The sequence below is a fragment of the Homo sapiens genome, chromosome 5, assembly GCF_000001405.40.
Source record: "Homo sapiens chromosome 5, GRCh38.p14 Primary Assembly".
Taxonomy (NCBI): domain Eukaryota; kingdom Metazoa; phylum Chordata; class Mammalia; order Primates; family Hominidae; genus Homo; species Homo sapiens.
In genome coordinates, this window is record NC_000005.10 from 138,605,870 (window position 1) to 138,630,838 (window position 24,969).

Here is a 24,969-nt window from a genome sequence, read left to right on the forward strand (position 1 = left end):
TTTTATTTTTTGCAACATTCCCACTAATCTACAATGGACTACAGGACTGCTGGTTTGGGAAATGCTCTCCTGTCACAGTCCTGTGTTCTCACTCAGTCACTTACCTATTCAATAAGCATTTATTTTGTGCCTATGTGCCAGGTCCTGGGCTAGAATAATACACACTCCTTAACCTAAAGAAACTAATAAAAACAGATACATCTACAATGGAGTGATGTGTATTATGATAGAGTGATACTCAGGGTTTCGCAGGCAGGGACACTATCTCTGCCTAGGTCACAAAAGGCAAGTCAGGGCAGGCTTCCTGGAGAAGGGGATGTTGAAGCTTAAAGGACGAAATGGTGTTAGGCATTTGAAGGCATATGGTATGCCAGGAACTGTCCAAAGATGTGTTGGGTACCTGGATCTTTGCAATAGGCTAAGCAGGCAGGTTCTCCCCAACCTCTCTGTCCTCAGGGAGAATCTCAGGCTAATTCTGCTGACCTGCAGAAGCCAGGTGAGGGGACAACACTTGTTGTCATCAGGAGGTGGGGTCTAGGGGCTGAAAGGTGGAAAGGGGGACAATGCCTCACATGCTCCCTGCATCCTGTGGTTCAGGGACCAATCCTCCTCCTCCCCAACTCCCAAGTCTCCTCTAAGAGATACAGACATTCAAGCAGTTTGGTTGCCAGGGGCAACCCTAGAAGGCAGCTTTATTCCAAAGGCAGGCACTGAAGCCCCTACCCGGGGGCCTCATAGCCTGGCTCTGATAGACAAGGGGTAGGTGGTTCAATTCGGCCAGTCCCCTTTGGGAGGTGACAGGACAGAGTCTGAGTAGCGCATGTGGAAGATAACCCTTCCAGCCACTCAGCAGGGCCCTGAGAAAAGAAAGGTGACCCACAAAACAGTAGATGGCATTTTAATCCACACGAATACTTAATATGAGTAACATAACCTTGTTTTTTCTGAGACGCAGCCTAATTTATTTCAGGCCTCAGGCTTAGTAACTAACCGCTGACAACCTGCAGGTCTGGTGCATGTGTGTGTAGGTCTGCAGTGTTAATGAGACTGTAGAGGTGGTGAATTTCTCTTGTTCACAATTTTCCTGCTCTGTTGAGGCTGTCCACCAGTAAGTTGCTCCTTTTCCTGAGCTAGGACTTGTGATCTGGGAATATGAAGACTACCTAGAAGGCAGAGGGTACAGGCTCCTCTTGAGAGAGCATGCCTGGTGCAAATGACAGGCAGTTGGGTTTACCAACGCTCCCTGCTTCTTTCTCTCATTCCTGTTATTCTGCCTGCTTACATTGCCCTCTGCTCTCCCCACAATGAGAGAAGCTTGTGCTATGTGGAGTCAGAACACCTGGGTTTGTTTCTGCTCTGTGACTTGGATGATGTATTTAATCATCTTGAGCCTCAGTGTTTTTACCTGTGAAATGGAAACAGTAGCACCTGCCATACCCAATCACAGGGTTATTGCAAATATCAAATGAGATAATTGATGAGAAAGTGTTTTGTAAACCAAGTAATGAGGAGGAGGAGGAGGAGAAAGTTGTTGAGTGGTTACTGTGCTAATTGCTCTTCTCTTTATTTATGTTATCTCTTTCTTTTCTCTTCTTTTCTCCTTTTTTTTTTTTTTTTTTTTTTTTTGAGACAGAGCCTCACTCTGTCTCCTGGAGTGCAGTGGCATGATCTCGGCTCACTGCAGCCTCCACCTCCCAGGTTCCAGCAATTCTTCTGCTTCAACCTCCCAAGTAGCTGGGATTACAGGTGTGTGCCACCACACCCGGCCTATTTTTGTATTTTTAGTAGAGACGGGGTTTCACCATGTTAGCCAGGCTGGTCTCGAACCCTTGACCTCAGGTGATCCACCCGCCTTAGCTTCCCAAAGTGCTGGGATTACAGGAGTGAGCCACCATGCCCGGCTGAGCCTTATTTATGTATTTAAGACAGAGTCTTGCTCTGTCTCCCAGGCTGGAGTACAGTAGCACCATCTCAGCTCACTGCAACCCCTGCCTCCTGGGTTCAAGTGATTCTCATGCCTTAGCCTCCCGGGTAGCTGGGATTATAGGCATGCGCCACCACACCTGGCTAATTTTTTAATTTTTAGTAGAGACAGCGTTTCACCATGTTGGCCAGGCTGGTCTCAAACTCCTGATCTCGTGATCCGCCTGCGTCAGCCTCCCAAAGTGGTAGGATTACAGGCGTGAGCCACCATGCCTGGCCTATACAGCCTTTAAGAGCAGAATCTTCCTGCTTTCTAATTTCTTCCAGTTTATGTCAAATCACTGTCCTCTGGCCCAGCGTGTCCCAAACACATGAGCCTCCTTTATCATTTCAGGGCCTGCCATGGCAGGTCTAGTTTAGGGCCTTTGCGCTAGTTGTTCCCACAGCCTGGAAGCTGCTGCTCTGAGATCTTTGCCTGGCTGGCAACTTCTTATTCAAATTTTATCCTAAATCACAAATCTTTCCCGATCTCCCAATTTAAAATAGCTTCCTTGGGGGCAAAAACATAGACTGTACACATGTACTTGCTTTTGTATGAATACATTTCTCTGCAAGGATGCACAAGAAATTAACATTTTGTTGCTTATGGGGAAGGAAAGTGGATAGCTAGGAAACAGGGCAGGAAAAGAGACTTATCTGCATATCTTTTTTCTATTTTTAAAAAATGTAGATTCATTAAATATATTATCTATTCAAAAATTAATTAAAAAATAAATAAAAAGAGAAAATAAAGTAGGCCCCTGCTGAGCATCCAACCTTCCTTTCTTCCTTCCTTCCTTTTTTTTCTATCTCTATTTCTCTCTCTCTTTCTTTTTTAGAGACAGGGTCTTACCCTTTTGCCCAGGTTGGAGTGCAGTGGTGCGATCACAGTTCACTGTAACTTCATGATCCTCTGGCCTCAGCCTTCCAAGTAGCTAGGACCACAGCTGTGTGCCCACCAGGTTTGCCTGGGTATTTTAAAAAATATTTATTTTGCAGGAATAGGGGATCTCGCTATGTTACCCAGGATGGTCTCAAACTCCTGGCCTCAAGTAATCCTCCCAAAATGCTGTGATTACAGGAATGAACCACTGTGCCAGCCTCTTTATTTACTTTATAAATTTTGTTTACAAAACAGGTGGTAGGCAGATTCGGCCCATGACTATAGCTTGCTGATCTGATCCCTGCTCTATCATATCTTATTTGATATATATCCTGGCATTAATTATTGGTTTCCTCATTTCTTATCTGCCTCTCCCCACCCCCACATACTAGAATGCAAGCCCCATGAGAGTAGGGTGCCTCTCTGTCTCGTTACCACCATATGCCTACACCTGGAACCATTTCTGGCTCATAAAGACTCAATAAATAATTGTCAAATGAATATTTGAATGTATTATGTTTGTCTGGGCTGAAGAGAAGAGCAACTCTATTTGAAGGGAGATCAGATGAGATAAACTTCTGATGGCAGCCCCTCTGGGAAGAATAATTTCCAGTTTGATCATCCTCAAGACAGCCCAACCTGTAGTTCTTGCCTCAAGGAGGAGCTGCTCATGCCGACCTCCTGACAGCAGATATGAAACTGAGTAGTACCTGTCCTCCTAGGACACGTTCCAGAAGAGAGGAGAACCGATGGATTAATCACTTTTCAATTTAAGAAGAAAAAGTACTTTACACACACACACACACACACACACACACACACACACATACACACACACACACCCAGGAGAGACCTCAGAGCCCAGGGAAGCTGCTCAGTTGGCAAGTTGGGCTTTGCAGACTAATAATTGCCTTGCCTGAGGGTATGGAGGAACCGGAATTCTGACTACCAGAATGACATGGGGAACAGCCAGGACCTGGAGAGGCGGAGGAGGTGGGGGAAAGTGGGAGAACGGAGTTTGGCACATTCCAATTTAGGCAGCACGTTGCCCTGAACAAACAGCCTGAATCACCACGTGCTTATTAATTTAAAAACTGTTTCTGAATCAACACATTCTTTGCCTGTCCAGGGCTGGGCTTTTTGCAGCCATGTAGCACACTGGCCAAGAAAGTGTGGGGTCCTGAAGGAGAAATGGCACTAGAGGAATCACCCGAGCCACTGGGCACTGCCTCCCAAGGCTTGCAAGACAGCGCAGAGGGTTCCCAGGCTGCGCTACTTTTGTTCCCTTGGAAGAAAGTCAGTAGGCAGATGCCTCTTCTACCTCCCCCAACACTCTCTTCAACACCACACTCCCTCTCCAGCTCACTCAGAGGAAGCTGGGAAGGTTCCAGTGGCGCGCTCCTGAGAAGCAGTGGGAAGGGCCAAGGTTACGAGTTACCCAGGCATGGGGGCGAACCCTGGCTCCCTCACTTGCTAGTTGTGTATTCTCTCTGTCTCTCTCTCTCCGTCTCTCTCTCTTTCTCTCTCTCTCTCGGAGAGACAGAAATGAGGTCTCGCTATATTACCCAGGCTGAAGACTGGACTCCAACTCCTGACCTGGGCTCAAGTGATCCTCCTGCCTCAGTCTCCCAAGTAGCTGGGACTCCGGGCACACGCCACCGCGCGCTTGGCTGTAATCTTGATCAAATCATGTAAAATTCCTGAACCACAAGTTTTTTTTTTTCTACAGTAACACCCTGTGGAGTTATGAAAATTAAAATAAAATAATGTGCTTAAAGCACAGGGACCAGAGAAGCAGCCGGATAAAGAGAAGGTCTTGGGGAGGGAGGAGGGCAGGGTATTGGCCCTCCAGTGGCCAGCAAGGAAAATGATGCGGCCCATCTTTGGGTACTTGCAGCTGAGCCCACAGAGTCACATGTTTTATCCCCGCACAGTAGGGAATGTCCTTTGACTTTTCTGACCCAGGATCTAGCTTGGCAACGCCGGGTCCTCCGGTACTCAGGACCGTCACTTGGCTCTCACTGGCTGGTTCTCTTGGAGTTTTGAGAGAGCTCTGAGAGGTCCTTGAATCCTTTCTCCTTCCCTCTTGTAGTGATATCTCTCTCTCAGACAAACCCAGGGACTGCTGGCCATCAGCTGAACCCGAGGGGAGCGAGGCCACAGCCCATGAGATGTACCCCACACTTCCTCTGCCCCGCCCCCCAAGCAGGACTGTGTCTGTGTTTTTCAGGGTGTGCTGCTGGAGCCCTGGGAGGAGGGGGTTGGGCAGTCGCTGGCGCTGCCGCTGGTGGTCCCTGTGCTTGAAGTGCCGGTGGTATCGGAGTCCATGCACCCAAGGCCCAGCACCCAGCAACATTCTCTGGCCCAGCAGAGGGGTGAGAGATCAAAGGAGGGGGCGTGGGGCATGGATTGCTTCTGGGCAGACCCATGCCAATGTGACATGGGGTTTCCTGCCTGAGTGTTACTGTGTGGCTGTGCCTGCCACGCTCATCTGGGGTGTGTGTGTGTGTGTGTGTGTGTGTATGTGTGTGTGTGTATGGGTGGGTGTTGGGGGGTGTACAGACGCTCTGGGTATGTAGGGGGGTCAGCACTAGGGGGGCTTCTAGGATTTGTCTGTGGTCTCATCTCCGCCCTCCCTGCTCCTGGAGGGGGAGCTGTAACTCAGCCAGGAGGCCACCTAGCTGATTCCCCTCCCCCCACCCACCAGCCGCTCGCTCTGTCACAACAAGGAGCTTTGGCAGAAAGGGAGGGGAGCGTGGGTGCTGCGGAGAGAAAAACACCCCAAAGTTTCAGAAAAAATGGCAGGAGAGATGCCAGCACCCAGGAGCAGGAGCCTTCTGCTTCTCACAGCCTGCACTGCTGGGCTGGGGGGAGACCACGGTTTCCTTTCCTTCCTTTCTCCCTTCCTTCCCTCCCCGCCCCTTGCTGCGTGATATTCAGGAAAAGGAAACATTACAGTGAGGGGAGAAAGGGAACAAAGAGATGCTTTTCAGAGGGGTCATGGGATCTTTCCGTAGCCACCAGAAGACACAGTTCTGGGCTCTGCTTGCTCTGGGCTAAGTGGGTGTGTATGTGTATGTGTGTGTAGAAGAGAACAAAAAAGAGAGAGAATGTGTGTGTTAGTGTGTTAGTTTATGCATGCCTGTGAGTAAATGTGTGTCTGAGTGTGGATGTGAATTGGGCGTGCATGTGTGTGTTGGGAAACAGTAAAGATAAAAGCAGACAGAACAAAAAGAATCATATACAAGATTGGTTAGACAGCTGCCCTTAGATAGTCTACACATGAATACTTGAAAAATGTTTGTGCAATAGGTTGGCCATTACCCAATATTGCGCGGCATTAGAATAAACATGTATACAATGAAAAACCTCCAGATTGACACTTCTTCCTCATGCTTTTGAAATCAGGGTATTTCATTTGGGCAATGACTCCTTTTCTGCAGGGTAAAAACTTCATTTACTCGCAGGTAGCTGGAACACCATTAAATATTCTTAAGAAGTTAGTTAATATTACATGAAGCTTCACGGAGAAAATATAAATATCTATTTATAATGATATATTCACTGTGAATTGACGTCTTTATTGTAGTTGGAACACGTAGCATGAGATCTACGGTCTTAACAAAAATTTAAATACACAATGCAGTAATATTAACTATATTAACTATAGGTGCTATGGTGAACAGAGGTCTAGAACTTATTCATCTTGCATAACTGAAGTTTTATACCTGTTGAACAGCAACTCCCTATTTCCCCCATCCCTCAGCACTTGACAAGCACCATTCTCATTTCTGTTTCTATGAGTCTATTTCAGATAATTGGTGTAAGGAGAACAGTGCAGTTTGTGCTTCTGTGACTGTCTTATTTCACCTAGTATAATGTACCCCAAATTCATCCATGTTGTCATATATGACAGAATTTTCTTCTTTTTAAGGCCAAATAATATTTTATTGTATGTATATGCCATGTTTGCTGTATTTGCTTATCTATTGATGGGCATTAGTTTCCATATCATGTGTATTGTAAATAATGCAATAATCAGGAAAATGCAGACATCTCTTGGAGATCTTGATTTCAATTGTTTTGGATAAAAATACAGAAGTGGGATTGTTGGATTATATGACAGACATTTTTCCAAAGAAGACATACACATTGCCAAAAGGTACATGAGAAGATGCTTAACAACACTAACTGTTAGAGAAATGCAAATCAAAACCATAGTGAGATGTCATCTCGTCTATTAGGATGGCTACTATAAAGGGAAACAAAAGGTAAGAGTTGGCAAATTCATTGGGAAGTAAAATGATTCAGCTGCTGTGGAAAATTGTACGAAGCTTACTCAAAAATTATGAATTTTTTTCCCCCAGAATGCTTAGCTCTTTTTGTAACTTTTATTTTAAGTTCAGGGGTACATGTGCAGGTTTGTTATATAGGTAAATCTAAGTCATGGGTCTTTGTGGTACAGATTATTTGATCACCCAGGTATTAAGCCTAGTACCCATTAGTTATTTTTCCTGATCCTCTCCCTCTCACACTCCACCATCCAGTAATCTCCAGTGTTCATTTTTTCCCTTTTTGTGTCCATGTGTTCTCATCATTTAGCTCCCGCTTATAAGAGGACATGTAGTGTTTGCTTTTCTGTTCCTGTGTTAGTTTGCTAAGAATTATGGTCTCCGGCTCCTCCTGCAAAGGACATGATCTCCTTCTTTTTTTATGCCTGCATAGTATTTCATGGTGTATATGAATTAACTTTCGAGTGGAGAAAAGAACTGGTAGATTTGTGAGATTAACAAATATTTCCATAGATTCAAGTTCATTTTCCCAGGGTTTTCTGAGCTTAATAACCTCAAAAGTACCTGAAATATAGTTTTTCTTCCTTTCACAGAGCTATTTATGTTATATATGAACTACAACTTAGAGTATTTAAAACTCAATAAATAGTGAAATTAAAAAAAAACAAAAAAACCTCATTTACTCAAAGCTCAGAATACAGTTTTGTGAGCATTTCACCAAAGTAAGGGCTAGAGTTTCTCTTAGCATTATTTGCTTACAAAATATTTGAGTTTGTAAACAAGATCCCAAGGGAAATATTTATCCCACTCAAGAAAACAAGTTACTTTTACCTCTTTGAAGTATCTATTTGCATTCCAACAATATGGTACTTATAAATCACTCCTTTCTAGCAACTTATTAAAGCAACTCTTAGAGGCAATACTTTTAAAAAATAGCAAGGCTGTATTTTTTTAAAAAAATTTAAAGGCCTGCAATGACTTTTAACAGCTTATCTGACTTAGTGATGTCTATTTGCTTATGATTATAATAACTTCTTACATTTAATGAATGCTCTTCATGCACCAGACACTGCATTAAATGCTTTACATACATGCTCTTATTTGGTCCTCCCAGCCAAGGAAGTACTGTTATTTTACAACTAAGGGGTAGAGAAGTAACTTAACCAGTGTCAGGTAGGTAATACATGTCAGGGCAGTACTTAAATCTGAGTTTTGAGTCCAAAGCCCCATGCCTTACCCTACATGCTCAGTTGCATTTCTTTATATTTCTTTCTTTTCTTTTTTCTTTTTTTTTTTTTTAGTCAGAGTCTCACTCTGTCATCCAGGCTGGAGTGCAGTGGCACGATCTCAGGTCACTGCAACCTCTGCTTTCTGAATTCAAGCAATTCTCAAGCCTCAGCCTCCGTGTAGCTGAGATTACAGGTGTGCACCACCATGCCCAGCTAATTTTTTTGTATTTTTAGTAGAGCCCCGGTTTCACCATGTTGACCAGGCTGTCTCGAACTCCTCACCTCAAGTGATCCACCCACCTTGGCCTCCCAAAGTGTTGGGATTACAGGCATGAGCCACCGCGCCTGGCCCATTTCTTTATATTTCACTGCCCAAAGATGTCCAAACATCAGCATGCAGGTGCCTACAGGTGCCTACAGAGGGCTGTCCCCACAAAAATCTTGGCTCCTGGTCCAGACCCACTGTTAGGGCCAGTGCCTGGGCATTATGGGTCAGTCCAGCTCTGAGATTTTAATTCCTGTTGTTGGAATGAGGGGAATAAATGGGCACTCAATCTCTTGGGATTTTTCAGCTCTCTCTGAGGCATCAGATTTTTTTCCTAGGGTCATCTCTGAGAGAAGTATGCCTGGAACATTGGCATGAGGAAATCAATCAATGCAAAGCATATAATGAGGTATGTATTCAGCACCATGAGGACCAACCCAGCGAGAATAAGCTCAGAAGGTTGTAGGAAGAGTGTAGGACTTGGAGAAAGAGCAATGACCCTGCACTCCGTCTAGAAGGGGTGAGGGAGAGGGGACAGGGAGGAAAAAGAAGGTGATGGGAAGAGGTTGAGGAGGAGCATGTGGGGTATGTGCAATTGGATGAGTAATGGAGAGCAGCTTTATTACTTTGACTTTTTGAAATAAGAACCAGCTTATGAAGGTGGGGAGGGAACAGCCTGGGAATAAATTAATTGAGAAAGGAAATTAAAGCCATCATTTCTGCTCTGCTGACGAGCAGATGTCAGCATGCCTCTAGCCTCTTGCTATATTCAGTGTTTTTCTAGAGATAAATGGTGGAGCTCAAAGAGGTTCCAACAGGGCCTGTGTTGAACACTTGAAGGCTCTAGAATATTTTGGTCATGAGAAAAGAGGGCTGAAAGTTGAGGACCAGGCTTCTAGGCTCTGAGGATTTTTTTTTTTTTACGTTAGCTATTTCACAATTACCAGTAGATTTAACTGCAAAACTGAAGGGAAATCAGGTAAGCATTTATAAAAGAGGAAATTAAGATGCTGGTATTCCTACCAAGATGACTCGAGGGAGAAAGAAAAGAGTTGGAAACACCTTTGCCAAGCCATTGAGAAGCTAGCATTGAGGGCAGAGAGTGCTTGAAGCAACCCAGCCTTAAGGCACTCTCTTAGAAGCAGCCAGGGCAGAGAGCAGCGGGGACAGGCAGTTCCAGCAATAGCTGGCTGAGGAGGATAGAGAGGGAGGCTGGCTCAGCAACCTAGCCTGGGAAAACAACCCCTGTGCTGAAATGCATTAGAAGTTCTCTACTCTGTATTCCAGTACTTTGGGAGGCCAAGGCAGGAGGATCGCTTGAGCTTATGAGTTCAAGACCAGCCTGGGCAACATAGAGAAATATAGATAGACCTTCTCTCTACTAAAAATAAAAAAATTAGCCGGGTGTGTTGGCATGCACTTGTAGTCTCAGCTTCTTGGGAAACTGAGGTGGAAGGATTGCTTGAGCCCTGGAGATGGAGGCTGAAGTGAGCTATAATTGTGCCACTGCACTCCAGCCTGGGCAACAGAATGAGATCCTTTCTCAAAAAAAAAAAAAAGAAGTTATTTGTGAAGACTTACTCCCAGCAAGGGGAGACAGGCAGAGTGTGCACCAGAAACCAGGCATCTTCAACATGGATATTTTGGATCTTTTCTGCATCCAGACAAAGGAACTTATTTACTAACAGCTGGCAGATATGGGCAAAATCACAATTTGATGGGTTAACCAAGGTCTGTATTACGTGCATAGGGGCATCGCATGAAAGAAAAGTGAGTATCTCCAAACCCAGTGAGATGTTAACATTTATATGCCCCCTTCATAGGGGGGATGTGAGGGGAGATATAGGCAACTTAGGGGACTGTAAATGATTTTGGGGAAAGATGAATGGGCCCTCAGAAGAACAGGTGACATCATGAGATGGTCTGGGTATGAAGTGGGCCTCTAGTTTCCTCTCCTGGTTAATCTTCCCTAGTTGATGAGATTTCTGGGGACGGGACTCATGACAATGGAGTTCTTCTTGGAGAATCTGTCCTTAGGCAGATGAAGTTCAGAGAAAGCCTCTCCCTGCATTTGCTGTTTCCCAGGTGTCCTCACTTTGAGGCCCAAAGCAGCATATTTTGGGGTGGCATTTTCTGAACTCCTTTAGAGCTAATCTGTCAGAAGGCAGGTGGAGCCTGGGTCAGACGAATCTGAGCATGCCCAAGTTACATAAAAGTTATGTGTCAACAAGCACATCCTGCTCCACTTTTTTTTTCTTTTTTCTTTTTAGAGACAGGGTCTTGCTCTGTCACCCAGGCTGGAGTGCGGTGGCACGATCATGGCGCACTGCAGCCTCAACTTCCTGCCCACCCTACTTTTTTAGTATAACAGCTGAAAGATATGGAACGTGGAATTGATGAAGGGTGACTCATTAAAATTATAATAGCAATTAGGAACAAGCAGAAAAAGACCATAGGCAAGGACAGTTTCATGGCCAAGATCATATGTTTTCCCACATTTTATATTTGGCGAGCGCGTAGGAGGGATCAACACATCCAGATTACTCTCCAGCTACAACTTCGGTTTCAACAAAACCCTGAATCTGACACCCTCGGCCCAGGCCCTCTTTCTCTTTCCTGAGCACTAAGGCTCCTGTTGGTGCTCTTGGCATTAGTGGCTTCAAGGCGAGGGTGAATGGGTTTGTGTTAGTGACTTTGTGGATGAAAGGACACTTGAATTTTCCTTGCCCAGCCTCGGCACTGCCTCAGACATTAAAGGCTATGAAATCTGCGCTGGTGTTTTGGTGAGGGACTGGAGTAGTCTCAAACCACTTTTTATACCCTATGTGAGAAGGAACTGTCAACCTAAATAACGATCAGAGAGGCTCTCTAAAAGAAAAGGTCTTTATTTTGGAATAGAGCATTGTAATGGGAATATGAAAATGCATGCCATAGTAAACTGTTTGAGTGAAGGAAGGCAAAGTCTTTCTTTTTTTTTTTTTTTAGATGGAGTCTCGCTCTGTCACCCAGGCTGGCGTGCAATGGTGTAATCTCAGGTCACTGCAACTTCTGCCTCCTATGTTCAAGTGATTTTCCTGCCTCAGCCTCCCGAGTAGCTGGGATTACAGGCATGCGTGACCACGCCAGATAATGTTTTGTATTTTTAGTATAGACGGGGTTTCTCCATGTTGGTCAGGCTGGTCTTGAACTCTCAACCTCAGGTGATCCGCCTGCCGTGGCCTCCCAAAGTGTTGGGATTACAGGTGTGAGCCACCGTGCCCGGCCCTTTTTTTTTTTTTTTTTTTTTTTTTGATACACGGTCTGGCTCTGTTGCCCAGGCTGGAGTGCAGTGATACGATCTCGGCTCACTGCAGCCTCTGCCTCCCAGGCTCAAGCAATCCTCCCACCTCAGCCTCTCGAGTAGCTGGGACTATAGGCGTGTACCACCATGCCTGGCTAATTTTTATATTTTATGTAGAGATGGGGTTTCATCATGTTGCCCAGGCTGGTTTCAAACTTCTGAACTCAAGCAATCTGCACGCCTCGATCTCCCAAAGTGCTGGGATTACAGATGTGAGCCACTGTGCCCAACCTGATAAAGGCTTTTAAAGGAAAAATTAAGAAGATTCCATAATTATTTAAAAATAATTATCCTTGGCTTTAAAGATCAATATTAAGGGTGATGCCAGTCTGAGCTTGGACAGGCAGTTGCTGGGCAGATGTCCTTGCAGAAGTATTTTTTTATGAAATGTTGTGAAGGCCTTCATGCAAGGTTGTGGGTTTTACGTCTTTTGTGATTTTTTTTTTTTTTAAATCAGGCATACAAGCATGAAAACCCTCTCTTCATGGCCTGCCCTGATTCTATTTGTCAGGGTTTTCTTTTTTTCTTTTTCTTTTTTTTTTTGAGATGGAGTCTCGCTCTGTTGCCCAGGCTGGAGAGTAGTGGTGCAATCTCAGCTCACTGCAGCCTCTGCCTCCCAGGTTCAAGCAATTCTCCTGCCTCAGCCTCCCAAGTAGCTGGGACTACAGGTGTGTGCCACCATGCCTGGCTAATTTTTTGTATTTTTAGTAGAGACGGGGTTTCACTGGGTTAGCCAGGATGGTCTCAATCTCCTGACCTCGTGATCCGCCCACCTCAGCCTCCCAAAGTGCTGGGATTACAGGTGTGACCCACTGCGCCCAGCCAGGGTTTTCTTAACATTAGTGACTTTATTTTAATCTTGACAACTTTCACAGAACTTAATTGTAGTCCCTTAATCCATAGTTGCCTCTGATTCTGAACTGCCCAGAGAAAAAGGACGTTAGTTGGTTGGTTCCCTGGGTTTTTTTCCTTCCAGTCATTTATTCACAACTGGTGTCACACACTGGAGATGTAAGAACAGAAAAAATCGTGGTACCTGTCCTTCAAGAACCACAGTCTTGTAGGGGTGACAGGGATAGAAACCACAATACAGGCCTGGGTGCAGTGGCTTATGCCTGTAATCCCAGCACTTTGGGAGGTTTAGGTGGGTGGATCACCTGAGGTCAGGAGTTCGAGACCAGCCTGGCCAACATGGTGAAACCCCGTTTCTACTAAAAATACAAAAATTAGCCGGGCTTGTTGGTGCGTGCCTGTAATCCCAGCTACCTGGGAGGCTGAGGCAGGAGAATAGCCTGAACCCGGAAGGCGGAGGTTGCAGTGAGCTGAGATCATGCCATTGTACTCCAGCCTGGGTGACAAGAGTGAAACTCTGTCTCCCATCCCCCACCCCTAAAAAAGAGGTCACAGAGTAGAATTTGGTGGAGGCAATTGTTCCAGGGTCCCAAGTCCAGTAGGGCTTAATAGCTATCTCCTATCCTGGTCCTCAAATGAGGAATTCTTTTCTCTCTTCTTCCCTTCCTTTCTTCCACAAAGATGTAGTGAGTGCTGTGAGTTAGGTCTGAGTTAGGTCCTGCGAATACATAAATGAACAAATACCATTCCATGCTTAGAGGAGATCATGGACTAGTTATGTTCTTCCCAGACTCCATGCTAGGGTATTCACTGGTCCATTTCACTATCATGATGAAATGAGAAAAAGCAAGAGACAATGTAGTGAGTCTTTAAATAAAATTAAATGTATTCAATATAAGATCTTTTCTCTTTAGTTTGAAGTTATATTCTTATGTACATTCTTTCCTCAAAACATGTTGATAGTAGATGGTAGTCATCACTGATTTGTTTGTTTATTTCCTTGCTCGCCAAAATGAAAATTAAGCAATCTTTTGTCACACCACAAAAAGTACGTGTGTGTGTATTAAGTGTTGTTACTGGTTAAAGATTCATTTCCTCATTTCAAAAGTGGGATTAAGGCGGGGCACGGCTGTAATCCCAACACTTTGGGAGGCCGAGGCAGGTGGATTACTTGAGGTCAGCAGTTTGAGACCAGCCTGGGCAACACGGTGAAATGGTGAAACCCCATCTCTACTAAAACTACAAAAAAATTAGCCGGGCGTGGTGGCACATGCCTGTAGTCCCAGCTACTTGGGAGGCTGAGGCAGGAGAATTACTTGAGCCTAGGAGGCGGAAGATGCAGTGAGCCGAGATGGCGCCACTACACAATAGCCTGGGAAACAGAGCGAGACTCTGTCTCAAACAAAACAAAACAAAAAAACAACAACAAACAAAACCAAAGTTGGACTAAGAGTGACCCTTTCTCATCTAATAAAGTGGACCTTATACAGGGAACATGGATTTACCAGACATGACAAATGCAGGCTCTCATGCCACTCCCCACTCTCCTTAGACTCAGAAGGGAGGAAATGGGAGAGCCCCAGGCCTCAAGAGAGGCAGGATTAACTCTTTTCTTGTTATCCCTGCACAAGACACCAAGAGCAGCAGCCTCTTGAGACCCTGTAGGAGGCAGTGCGGGAAGTCCTGGACAGGAACCAGTGCAAGTGCCAGAAACTTTTGGGAACAGTGGAGCTACAGATCAGCTTGAAGAACTCTGACCCTCAGAAGGATGAACGCTTCTTGGGCACTGTCATCTGAAGTCCACTCGCCGCCCCAGGTTCTCCACGTGTGTCCTGGGGGACCAGCAGCACAGGGTTGAGGCCAAGCCTGTGGGTATCTCCTACGTGGACATCGAGGTGCTGAAGAAACTCGACAGGAACAAGAAGCTGCTCAACAAGTATGATGCCTTTCTGGCCTCAGGGTCTCTGATCAAGCAGATCCCACAAATCCTGGGCCCAGGCCTAAATAAGGAAGGCAGGTTCCCTTCCCTGCTGATGTACAGTGAAGACATGGTGGCCAAAGTTGATGAGGGGAAGTCCACAATCAAGTTCCAGGTGAAGAAGGGGCTCTGTCTGGCATGGCTCTTGGTCGTGTCAAGATGACAGATGATGAGCTTGTGTACAACGTCCATCTGGCTGTCAACTTCCTGGTATCATTGCTCAGGAAGAATTGGCAGAACATCTGGGCTTTACACATCAAGAACACCATAGGCAAGCCCCAGTGCCTGTATTAAGGCACATTCTAATAAATCTTAGTGCCACAAAGAGAGAGACAGAGAGAGAAAGAGAGAGAGAGAGAGAGATAAACAAAGAGAGAGAGAGAGAGAGAGATAAACAAAGAGAGATTCGGGATTCAGCAATCTCCTTTCTAGACAAGGGCTGCTCCCCCTGACACCACAGAGGAGATGGCTGATGTTCCAGGAGTCTACAGGCCCAAGAGACCTGGGTTCATCCCATCTCGTTGGAGAAGGACAGCAATTCTACAGAGGGACCCAGCGGGAAAAGCTGGTGAAACACAAATAGGCTGCCCCAGGGAGGAGCCTCTGGCTCTTTTATAGGGTAACTGAATATGGTCACCAGCTTTTATCAAAATTAGCCAGGTACTCAGAGTTTCCAACGGCCCAGGCACAAATAATCCACAAACCAATCACTTCAAATTATATCCCTGAAATAGTCACACGCATGCTCTCAACATACCATTAGCACCTAAACTCAAACTATGACACACCCACAAGTCTGCATCACCCTGCTTATAACTTAAAGCTTGTGGGTTTAAACTAATTTAGGAGTCAGTCTGGGGACCAAAGGGGGAAAGTCTTATAATGAGGTGGCGATTTGCTTAGGGAGGGGAATGCAATGCATGCGTGACATCCAGAGGCTGGGAACTAATCGTCTCATAGGAGAGGTAAGTGTGTAAGCAGGCTGGGTGCAGTGGCTCACGCCTGTAATCCCAGCACTTTGGGAGGCTTAAGGTCAGGAGTTCGAGACCAGCCTGGCCAACATGGTTAAACTCCTGAGATCAGGAATTCAAGACCAGCCTGGCCAACATGGTAAAACCTCATCTCTGCTAAAAATACAAAATTAGCTGCACATGGTGGCACACACCTGTAGTCCGGGCTACTCCAGAGGCTGAGACAGGAGAATGGCTTGAACCCAGGAGGCAGAGGCTGCAGTGAGCCAAGATCGTACCACTGCACTCCAACCTGGTGACAGAGCGAGACCCCGTCCTGGAAAAAAAAAAAAAGAAAGGACCATGGTGTAGGGGTAGGGTGGTGAGTTTAGCATGGGTAGAGGTGATGGGCATCTGGTGGAAGTACCTGAAAGGTACTAGAAAGGGAGGTTGGAGCCTGATTGTGAAGGGCCAGACCAGGAGTAGGTTCTCAGGAAGCAGAGCTGAAGAGAGGGCTGCCGACCAGTGACCTAGGGAAGCTGGGAGAGTCTTTCCCAAGGAGCTGACCCTTGGGGTGCGTTTCTTTTCTCATCTCTGCCTTAAGGCTCTCTTGTCTCTTTTCTTTCCCCCGCCCCACATTCCTATGCATGCCAGGCCCAAAACATCCTCACAGGCTGCTGCTCTAATTACTTCATCCCATTTTAATTCTGCTGAGTTAGGAGCCTGTGAACTCAAGAGGAAATTCATGCAAAATACCCAACAAATTGAATGTGCTGGTGTTTTAGAACGCCAGGTCTGACCCTATCTGCCCCCTTCATCCTCTCTTCCTGTGGCCCTGCTCCTGACCAATCTCAGCTTGAGAAATCAAAGGTAGAATGTGCTGGTGAGAAGAGAGGGTGGCATTGATTGAGAAAGATGTTGAGTTTCACTGAATTGTTTGAGCCATTGCTTGGGATGAGGACAGGGTGGAGGCTTTCTGATGGGAGGCTTCTGTGGGAACCTTTTTGGAACTGATGGAGTCCATCTCTAGAGCTCCAAAATACCACGTGTGTTTGTGAGTTGTAATGTTTCCTTGTCCCTCAAGATACTTACAAGTTAGGAGAGATTTCTTATTCCAGCTGTTTGTCCACGGAGATGATAAATCATTTAAAACAAATGGATGGCTGTTTTCTTTCTTTCTTATTTTTTTTGAGTCGGAGTCTCGCTCTGTCGCCCAGGCTAGAGTTCAGTGGCGCGATCTCAGCTCACTGCAACCTCCACCTCCCAGGTTCAAGCAATTCTCTAGCCTCAGCCTCCCAAGTAGCTGGGACTACAGGCACATGCCACCACGTCTGGCTAATTTTTGTATTTTTAGTAGAGATCGGGTTTCACCATGTCGGCCAGGCTGGTCTCGAACTCCTGACCTCAAGTGATTGGCCCACCTTGGCTCCAGAATGTGCTGGGATTACAGGCATGAGCCACCATGCCTCGTGGATGGCTATTTTAAAATCAGTGATTCTCGAGTTTGAGACAGTCTGGGCAGCAAGGCAAAATCCTGTCTCTATTAAAAAATACAAAAATTAGCTGGGTGTGGTGCTGAACTCCTGTAGTCCCAGCAACTCAGGAGGCTGAAGTGGGAGGATGGCTTGAGTCCAGGAGACAGAGGTTGCAGTGAGCTGAGATTGCATGACTACACTCCAGCCTGAGCAATAGAGCCAAAACCTGTCTCAAAAACGAAACAAAGCAAAAAAATAAGTGATTCTCAAATTTTTCGGTCTCAGGACTCCATTATACTCTGAAAAATGACTGAGGTCTCCAAGAGCTTTTGTTTATGTGGTTATTGCTATTGATATTTACTGTATTCAAAATGAAAACTGGGATCCTTTTGTAGTTCATAAGCATGATGATTGGGTTTTCATGCTTGTGTGTGAGATGTGCTTCCCTCAAACCTTGTTATGATGGTGGCACATTACCCATCTGATGTGAAAAAAAAAAAAAGAAAGAAAGCCTGAGAAGTTGAAAGAATATTTATTAATCCATTTAAATTTAAAATACCAAAAATAAACCATAATGTGTTAACATAACTAACACATTTTGGTGAAAAAAGTACATTTTCCCCCTAAAATAGTGATAAAATTGGCATGTTTTACATTTTTACAAATCTCTAATAACTGGCTTAATAGAAAATACCTGGATTCTCTTATCTTATTCTCTTATTACAATTAATCCATTTCTTTTTTTCTTTTCTTTTCTTTTTTTTTTTGAGATAGTCTTTCTCTGTCACCCAGGCTGGAATGCAGTGGTGTGGTGTGATCTTAGCTCACTGCAACCTCTGCCTCCCTGGTTCAAGCCATTCTCTTGCCTCAGCCTCCCAAGTAGCTGGGATTACAGGTGTGCACCACCACACCTGACTCATTTTTGTATTTTTAGTAGAGACAGGGTTTCACCATGTTGGCCAGGCTGGTCTCAAACTCCTGACCTCAAGTGATTCACCCACCTCAGCCTCCAAAGTACTGGGATTACAGGTCTGAGCCACCATATCTGGCCTAATCAGTTTCAATATGTTGTTTTGGTTGAACTGGCCTCAAGTGATCTGCCTGCCTCGACCTCCCAAATTGCTGGGATTACAGGCATGAGCCACCGTGCCTGGCCAATGCTGTTATTTCCTAAATATCTCTTTAATCCATAACATGAAACAAATCTGGCCTCACTGAGTTAGAAAAGTGAGGAATATTTTAGTCTTCAGATAATTGTGGATATTTTTCTTGGACACTACACCAAAAGTTGACACACAGCAGTTTTTTCTTCTTTTCTTTTTTACTCACCACTATATTAATGAGGAAACATAGTAGTTTCGTAAAGGTATGTGGAATCTAAAATCATGTCAATCAATTCCTATTCTATTACATTAAAATCCATTGGTTTATCTTGAACTTTGAAGAGATTTTGTAACATTGTGTATTAGTCATTTGGAAAATATAGGTCCACTGAGTTATACATAGCTTCTAAATGCTGATGCATTTCATTATACAATACTTTAAAATCACATTCATTATATCACTATCAATCTCATCAAAGAAGTCTTTAGGAATTCGGAAGTTTTCAAGTTCATGGTGACAGATATAAGTGTTCCAAAATTCTAATTTTTCACTTGAAAGCTTGAATTTTATTATTGGCAACAAATACTGTCAGTTGTTTCCCTTGAAGTAATAAGCTTACTTTGTTCATTTTTGGGGAACTATCTGCCAAACACTCAAATTTGAATAATCATAGTTTGTCTCTCCATTATATTTTCAAGTAAAAATAATTCTCCTTGCTGGGTGCCATGGCTCACACCTGTAACCCCAACACTTTGGGAGGCCGAGACAGTAGAATCACTTGAGCCCAGGAGTTAGAGACCAGCCTGGAAACAGAGTGAGACCCTGTCTCTACAAAAAATATACAAAGTTAGCCAGGTGTTATGGTGTGTGCCTGTAGTATCAACTACTCAGGAGGCTAAGGTGGGAGGATCGCTTGAGAATGGGAGGTCGAGGGTGTAGTGAGCCAAGATCACACCACTGGACTCCAGCCTGGGTGACAGAGTGAGAACCTGTCTCAAAACAAAAACAAAACAAGAAAAACCTCAAAAAACAAAACAAAACAAAAACAACCAAACACACACACACACGCACACACACAAAAACAGAACAAAACAAAATGGTGCTCCATGAAAAAAGAGGCTAATTCTGCTTGAAACTCAAACAATTGCAGAAGTGCTTTTCCTGGAGACTATCACTGTACTTGGGATACAGCAGAAATGCTTTATGTGTACTTCCTATTTCGTCAGAATATATATATATATTTGAGACGGAGTTTCCCTCTTGTCGCCCAGGCTGGAGTGCAATGGTGAGATCTTGGCTCACTGCAACTTCCTCCTCCCGGGTTCAAGCGATTCTCCTGCCTCAGCCTCCTGAGTAGCTGGGATTACAGGCATGAGCCACCACACCCGGCTGATATTGTATTTTTAGTAGAAACAGGGTTTCTCCATATTGGTCAGGCTGTTCTCGAACTCCCAACCTCAGGTGATCTGCCTGCCTTGGCCTCTCAAAGTGCTGGGATTACAGGCATGAGACACTGCGCCCAGCAGAATATTTTTTAAAAAGTACCCAAGGATTGAGATTTAGTAGAAATTAATAATCTTTACCATTTGATGAAGAACATTCCTAAGTAAACGTGAAATTTTTTTAGTGCATGTGCATGGCAGTGAAGTGTACTATGAATACTAGCACAGGTTAGCACAACTGCTTCGATTTGTTTTGAGGTGCAGTCTGTTTTACCCACCATTGCTTTTGCACCATCAGTGCAAATGTCAACACAATGAAAAAGGCAAATCGTATCTTACACTATTATGAAAATAGTTTTAGCAGGGCACACTGGGTCACGCCTGTAAATCCCAGCACTTTGGGAGGCCGAGGTGGGAGGATGATGACTTGAGCCTGGGAGTTTAAGAACAGCCTGGGCAACATGGCAAAACTTATCTCTACAAAAAATACAAAAATTAGTTGGGTATGGTGGTGCACACCTGTGGTTCCAGGTACTCAGGAGACTGAGGTAGGAGGATCACTTGAGCCTGGGGAGGCAGAGGTTGCAGTGAGCCAAGATCGCACCACTGCACTCCAGTCTGGGCAGCAGGAGGGAAAGCCTGTCAGAAAAAAACAAAAAACAAAAACAGAAAAGGAAAGAAAATAGTTTTAACTTCACAGACCCTTGAGAGGGTCTTGGGGGCCCCCTCAGGGTTGCATGGAGCACACTTTCAGATCCACTGCCCTAAATGACGTGTCTGAGTTCCTGAGAGTTGGTCCTAGGCCTCTTTTCTTCTCACTCTACTCTCTCCTTAAGTGAGCTCATCTACTGCCTTTGAACTACCTCTGAGAAAATGACCCACACATTTGTCATCTCCAGCCGTGACCTCTCCCTGGAGCTCCAGACTGTGTATCCAGCTGCCGGCTCAATTTTGGCAGTTGGGTGTCCCAAAGGCAATATGTCTAAGACTTTACTTCTGGTCTTCCATCCATTTATATAAGCCCAAATCCTTATTGTCACCATGTTCCTCCTCACCCCGTATCTAATCAATCATTAAGTCCTGTAAATGCTGTTATTTCCTCTTCCTTTCTCTCTCTTTCTCTCTCTCTCTTCCTTCCTCTTTTGCTTCCTTCCTTCCTTTCTTTTCTTTCTTTCTTTCCTTTTTTCTTTCCTCCCTTCCTTCTCTCTCTTTCTCTCTTTCTTTCTTTTGAGACAGAGTCTCACTCTGTCACTCAGGCACAATCTTGGCTCACTGCAATGTCCCGGGTTCAAGGGATTCTTCTGTCTTAGCCTCCTGAGTAGCTGGAATTACAGGTGTGCACCACCATGCCCAGCTAATTTTTGTATTTTTAGTAGAGACGGGGTTTCACCATGTTGGCCAGGCTGGTCTCGAACTCCTGACCTCAAGTGATCTGCCCACCCCAGCCTCCCAAAGTGCTAGGATTACAGGCGTGAGCCACTGCACCCGGCCAATGCTGTTATTTCCTTAATATCTCTTTAATCCATAACTTCTGTCTCTACCACCATCACCACTACCAAAGCAAGATACCATTACCTCTTGCTGCATTACCACAACAGGCCTCCTTCAATCTGTTCTCCTCATTATAACCAGAGCAATCTTTTCAAAATGCAAATCTGATTATGCCAAAACCTTGTTTAAACCCTTCAACAACCTCCTATTGCTCTCAAAATAAAGGTCCAAATCTTTAACATGGTCTGTTTCCCCAGTCTAGGTCAGATTCTTAAAGTTCTCATAGAATCATGCCCCCTTCTTTCATAATAGTCATCGTCGTTTGTATTTGTATATTCATTAGTAGGATTATTTGATTATTATCTCTCTCTGATGAGACTATAAGTTCTGTGAAAGCAGAGACAACCACATAGTAGACATTTTATAAATATTTGCTGAGTCAATGATTCAATGAGGCCTAGGACAACTCCTTTGAGCATGGAGTAACCACTGAGAAATAATTCTTCTGCCCTCGGCCCTCGAGTTGGAGAAGACCTATTTTCATTCTTATCGTCTCATAGCATTTCAAAGAAAAATGCTGCTTTGTCCAGGCATTCCATCATAGTGTCTTCCTAAGCATGAGGCACATTTATCTTCCTTTTGACATAGGCGCCCTCTTTGCTCCCCATCACTCATCCTGCCAGTGGTTCTTGAAGTGGGTTAGCAATACTGGTTCTTCAGGATTATAAGAGAGGGGACTGGGGCTGGGCGTGGTGGCTCACGCCTTAATCCTAGCACTTTGGGAGGATCATGCTGGAGAATCGCTTGAACCCGGGAGGCAGAGGTTGCAGTGAGCCAAGATCGTGCCATTGCACTCCAGCCTGGGTGACAGAGGGAGAATCTGTCTCAAAAAAAAAGAGAGAGAGAGAAAGAGAGAGGGGACTCTTTCTCTCCTACTAGGTGGTTGGCTAGGAGGCCCATTTCTGCAATAGAGAACAAAATGTATTAAGAGAGAACAAAGGAAGAACAAAGGGAACAAGAGAGAACAAAATAAGGCCTTTCCTATAGAAGGGAAGGGAAGGGAAACCAATGTTTATCAAGCAACTACTGTGTGCCAGGCACTTTGAGACTTTTGTTGTCCCCTTTCATCTTTTTTTGGAGTTCCAGTGGGCTTTTAATCTTTACAACAACCCTATGAGGTAGGAGTTATGGTCCCATTTGTATAGATGAGAAAACAACGGGCCCAGAGAGGTTAAGTAACTTGCCTAAAGATACACAATATAGTGTATTAGTCCTGTTTACCTACCTACCCTAAGACCCCTTCTAAGGGACTTTGTACTGGCAAAGATTTTGCAGCAGGCCATATTACATACCATATGACATCATCCCTACCCCAGTAGTTTATATCACTACTTACCTACCCCTGCCTCTTCTGCCCTAGGTGATTAGACCACAGGGAGGTTCTAACCTTAGCCATGTTGGTCCATGGGCTAGCCAGTCACCTCTGACTTATTGCCTGGTACAGAAAGACAACTGGCCAATAGGATTCCCTCTTAGTAACCTCAACCTGAAGCAGAGTTCCCCAGCAGGGAGCACAGACTGGGAGAGATGCAGACACACCCAGTGTGGCAGAATCACATTGAGGGTGGGCAGAGCCTGAGAAGGAAGAGCCGTGACCTTATTTTCACTCCTTAAGAGCCCCTGAGGAGTCTTTTTTTTTCATTTTATTTTTTTTGAGATGGAGTCTTATTCTGCCACCAGGATGGAGGGCAGTGGCCCTCCACTTCCCGGGTTTAAGCGATTCCCCTGCCTCAGCCTCCCGAGTAGCTGGGACTACAGGCACGTGCCACCACACCTGGCTAATTTTTGTATTTTAGTAGGGACAGGGTTTCACTATGTTGGCCAGGCTGGTCTTGATCTCCTGACCTCGTGATCCGCCCGCCTCGGCCCCCCAAAGTGCTGGGATTACAGGCATGAGCCACCATGCCCAGCCCCCTGAGGAGTCTTGAATCCAGATTCCTCCTCAGCTTCAGCACCTGCCCCTGGGGTTTCCTGACAGGCCAGAAGTGGTTCTGCATGTATTTTTATACTAAGCTTCTGTGCCTGAGCTAACTCAAGGGGTCTCTTTTTCCATAAGAGTCTACCTCAAATGGGTACAGAGTGACAGGGTCAGGATTGAAACCCAAGCCTGTCTGTTTCCCTAGCTTATCCTCCTTTCACTATTCCACAGAGGGTGAGCCCTTGAGCGGTGTCAAGCGCCCACTGCCTGGGAATGAGCACAGCCAGCTTTGCAGCAAGGCACTAATTTAAAGAAGAGTGTGAGGAATCCTCACTTTCTGAACACTCTGAGGTGGGCCAAAGACTAACAGCGCCTGGCCTTGCTTTGGGAAGCTTTCCTGAGAAGTACAAGCCATGCCATCTAGAAACCTTCCCACTGTGGGCCACAGTTCAGTGTGTGACATCATGTATGAAATCACTAATCATCAGTGACATTACTCGATGATGCCACTTCCATAATGACCCTAAATCTTGGTCAGCTCAGGATGGGAAACCACAGACAGCCTGGGAATTAGGCAGACCAGGATTCCAGTCCTCTTCCTGACTGTTTGTCCTTGGGAAAGGCAGCACTGCTTTTCCTGTCTTTCCTCTCAGTGTCCTTGTCGGTAAAAACTGGGAGCCAGGCAGGGTGGCACGCACCTGTGTCCCCAGCTACTCAGGAGGCTGAGGCAGGAGGATCACTTGAGCTCAGGAGTTCAAGACCAGCCTGGGTGACATAGCAAGACCTTGTCTCAAAAAAAAAAAAAAAAAAGAAAGGGGGGATATTTCCTATCTCAGAACAAAAATCACAGGAGATAAATATGCAAGATCCTGCACTGAGGGGAGTTGGTGTTTAATGGGCACAGAGTTTCAGTTGGAGAAGATGAAGAAGTTCTGGAGAGGGATTGTGGTGATGGTTGTATAACAGTATGAGTGCACCTAATGCCACAGAACTGGACACTTTAAAATGGCTAAAATGGTCGATTTTAAAGGAAATAAATACACACATATATATTTCCTTTTTGTTTTGAGAGGGAGTCTCACTCTGTTGCCCAGGCTGGAATGCACTAGCACGATGTTGGCTCACTGCAACCTCTGCGTCCCGGGTTCAAGTGATTCTCCTGCCTCAGCCTCCCAAGTAGCTGGGATTACAGGCACCCACCACCATGCCTGGCTAATTTTTTTATTTTAGTAGAGATGGGGTTTCACCATGTTGGCCAGGCTGGTCTCGAACTCCTGACTCAGGTGATCCACCCGCCTTGGGCTCCCGAAGTGCTGGGATTACAAGTGTGAGCCACTGTGCCCGGCCTATGTTACCTATATTTTACTACAACGACAACAATAAAAAGACTTTACCTTGGGCCCCTCATGTAGCAGGTACCTTAGAAATGCTGATTTTTCATCTTTATCCCATGTAGCAGAAGCCAAGGTCCAGTTAATCCCGGTGCCCTTAACCCAAGGCAACCCTCTGGCCTCTCCTTCAAGACTCTGAGACGTAGAGCCCACCACAGCCCCCTGCCCCAGAGAGCTGGAAGCCCATCAGAGCAATGAAGTAAAGTCTCCAGACCTGGGAGATCAGGACACTCCTATGAACTGGCACTTTCAAGGAAAGAGCCCAGGACCTGGGACTGCTGTGGCTGAGAAGAGCTGGGCCCAAGACTTGACCAGGTCCGTCCCCAAGCCCCAGGAC

At 45.3% G+C, this 24,969-nt stretch overlaps 1 non-coding gene and 1 pseudogene across 1 annotated transcript, besides 3 other annotated features; both read left to right on the forward strand.

Annotated features, from left to right (window-relative positions):
* Nucleotides 3,718-4,350: an enhancer, noted in NCBI's record as "H3K4me1 hESC enhancer chr5:137945276-137945908 (GRCh37/hg19 assembly coordinates)". NCBI's record gives its function as "activates a minimal SCP1, AML or CMV promoter by ChIP-STARR-seq in naive H9 embryonic stem cells {active_cell/tissue: H9 hESC(naive)}" and the evidence as "EXISTENCE:reporter gene assay evidence [ECO:0000049][PMID:30033119]".
* Nucleotides 4,351-4,983: an enhancer, noted in NCBI's record as "H3K27ac-H3K4me1 hESC enhancer chr5:137945909-137946541 (GRCh37/hg19 assembly coordinates)". NCBI's record gives its function as "activates a minimal SCP1, AML or CMV promoter by ChIP-STARR-seq in primed H9 embryonic stem cells {active_cell/tissue: H9 hESC(primed)}" and the evidence as "EXISTENCE:reporter gene assay evidence [ECO:0000049][PMID:30033119]".
* On the forward strand, nt 4,786-15,095 carry RPL10AP10 (ribosomal protein L10a pseudogene 10; annotated as a pseudogene).
* Nucleotides 4,984-5,616: an enhancer, noted in NCBI's record as "H3K27ac-H3K4me1 hESC enhancer chr5:137946542-137947174 (GRCh37/hg19 assembly coordinates)". NCBI's record gives its function as "activates a minimal SCP1, AML or CMV promoter by ChIP-STARR-seq in primed H9 embryonic stem cells {active_cell/tissue: H9 hESC(primed)}" and the evidence as "EXISTENCE:reporter gene assay evidence [ECO:0000049][PMID:30033119]".
* Nucleotides 17,610-17,713, forward strand: LOC124901196 (small nucleolar RNA U13). Its single transcript, XR_007059160.1, has one exon. It is a non-coding gene; the product is annotated as a small nucleolar RNA U13 (small nucleolar RNA).
* Nucleotides 17,714-24,969: the final 7,256 nt, after the last annotated feature.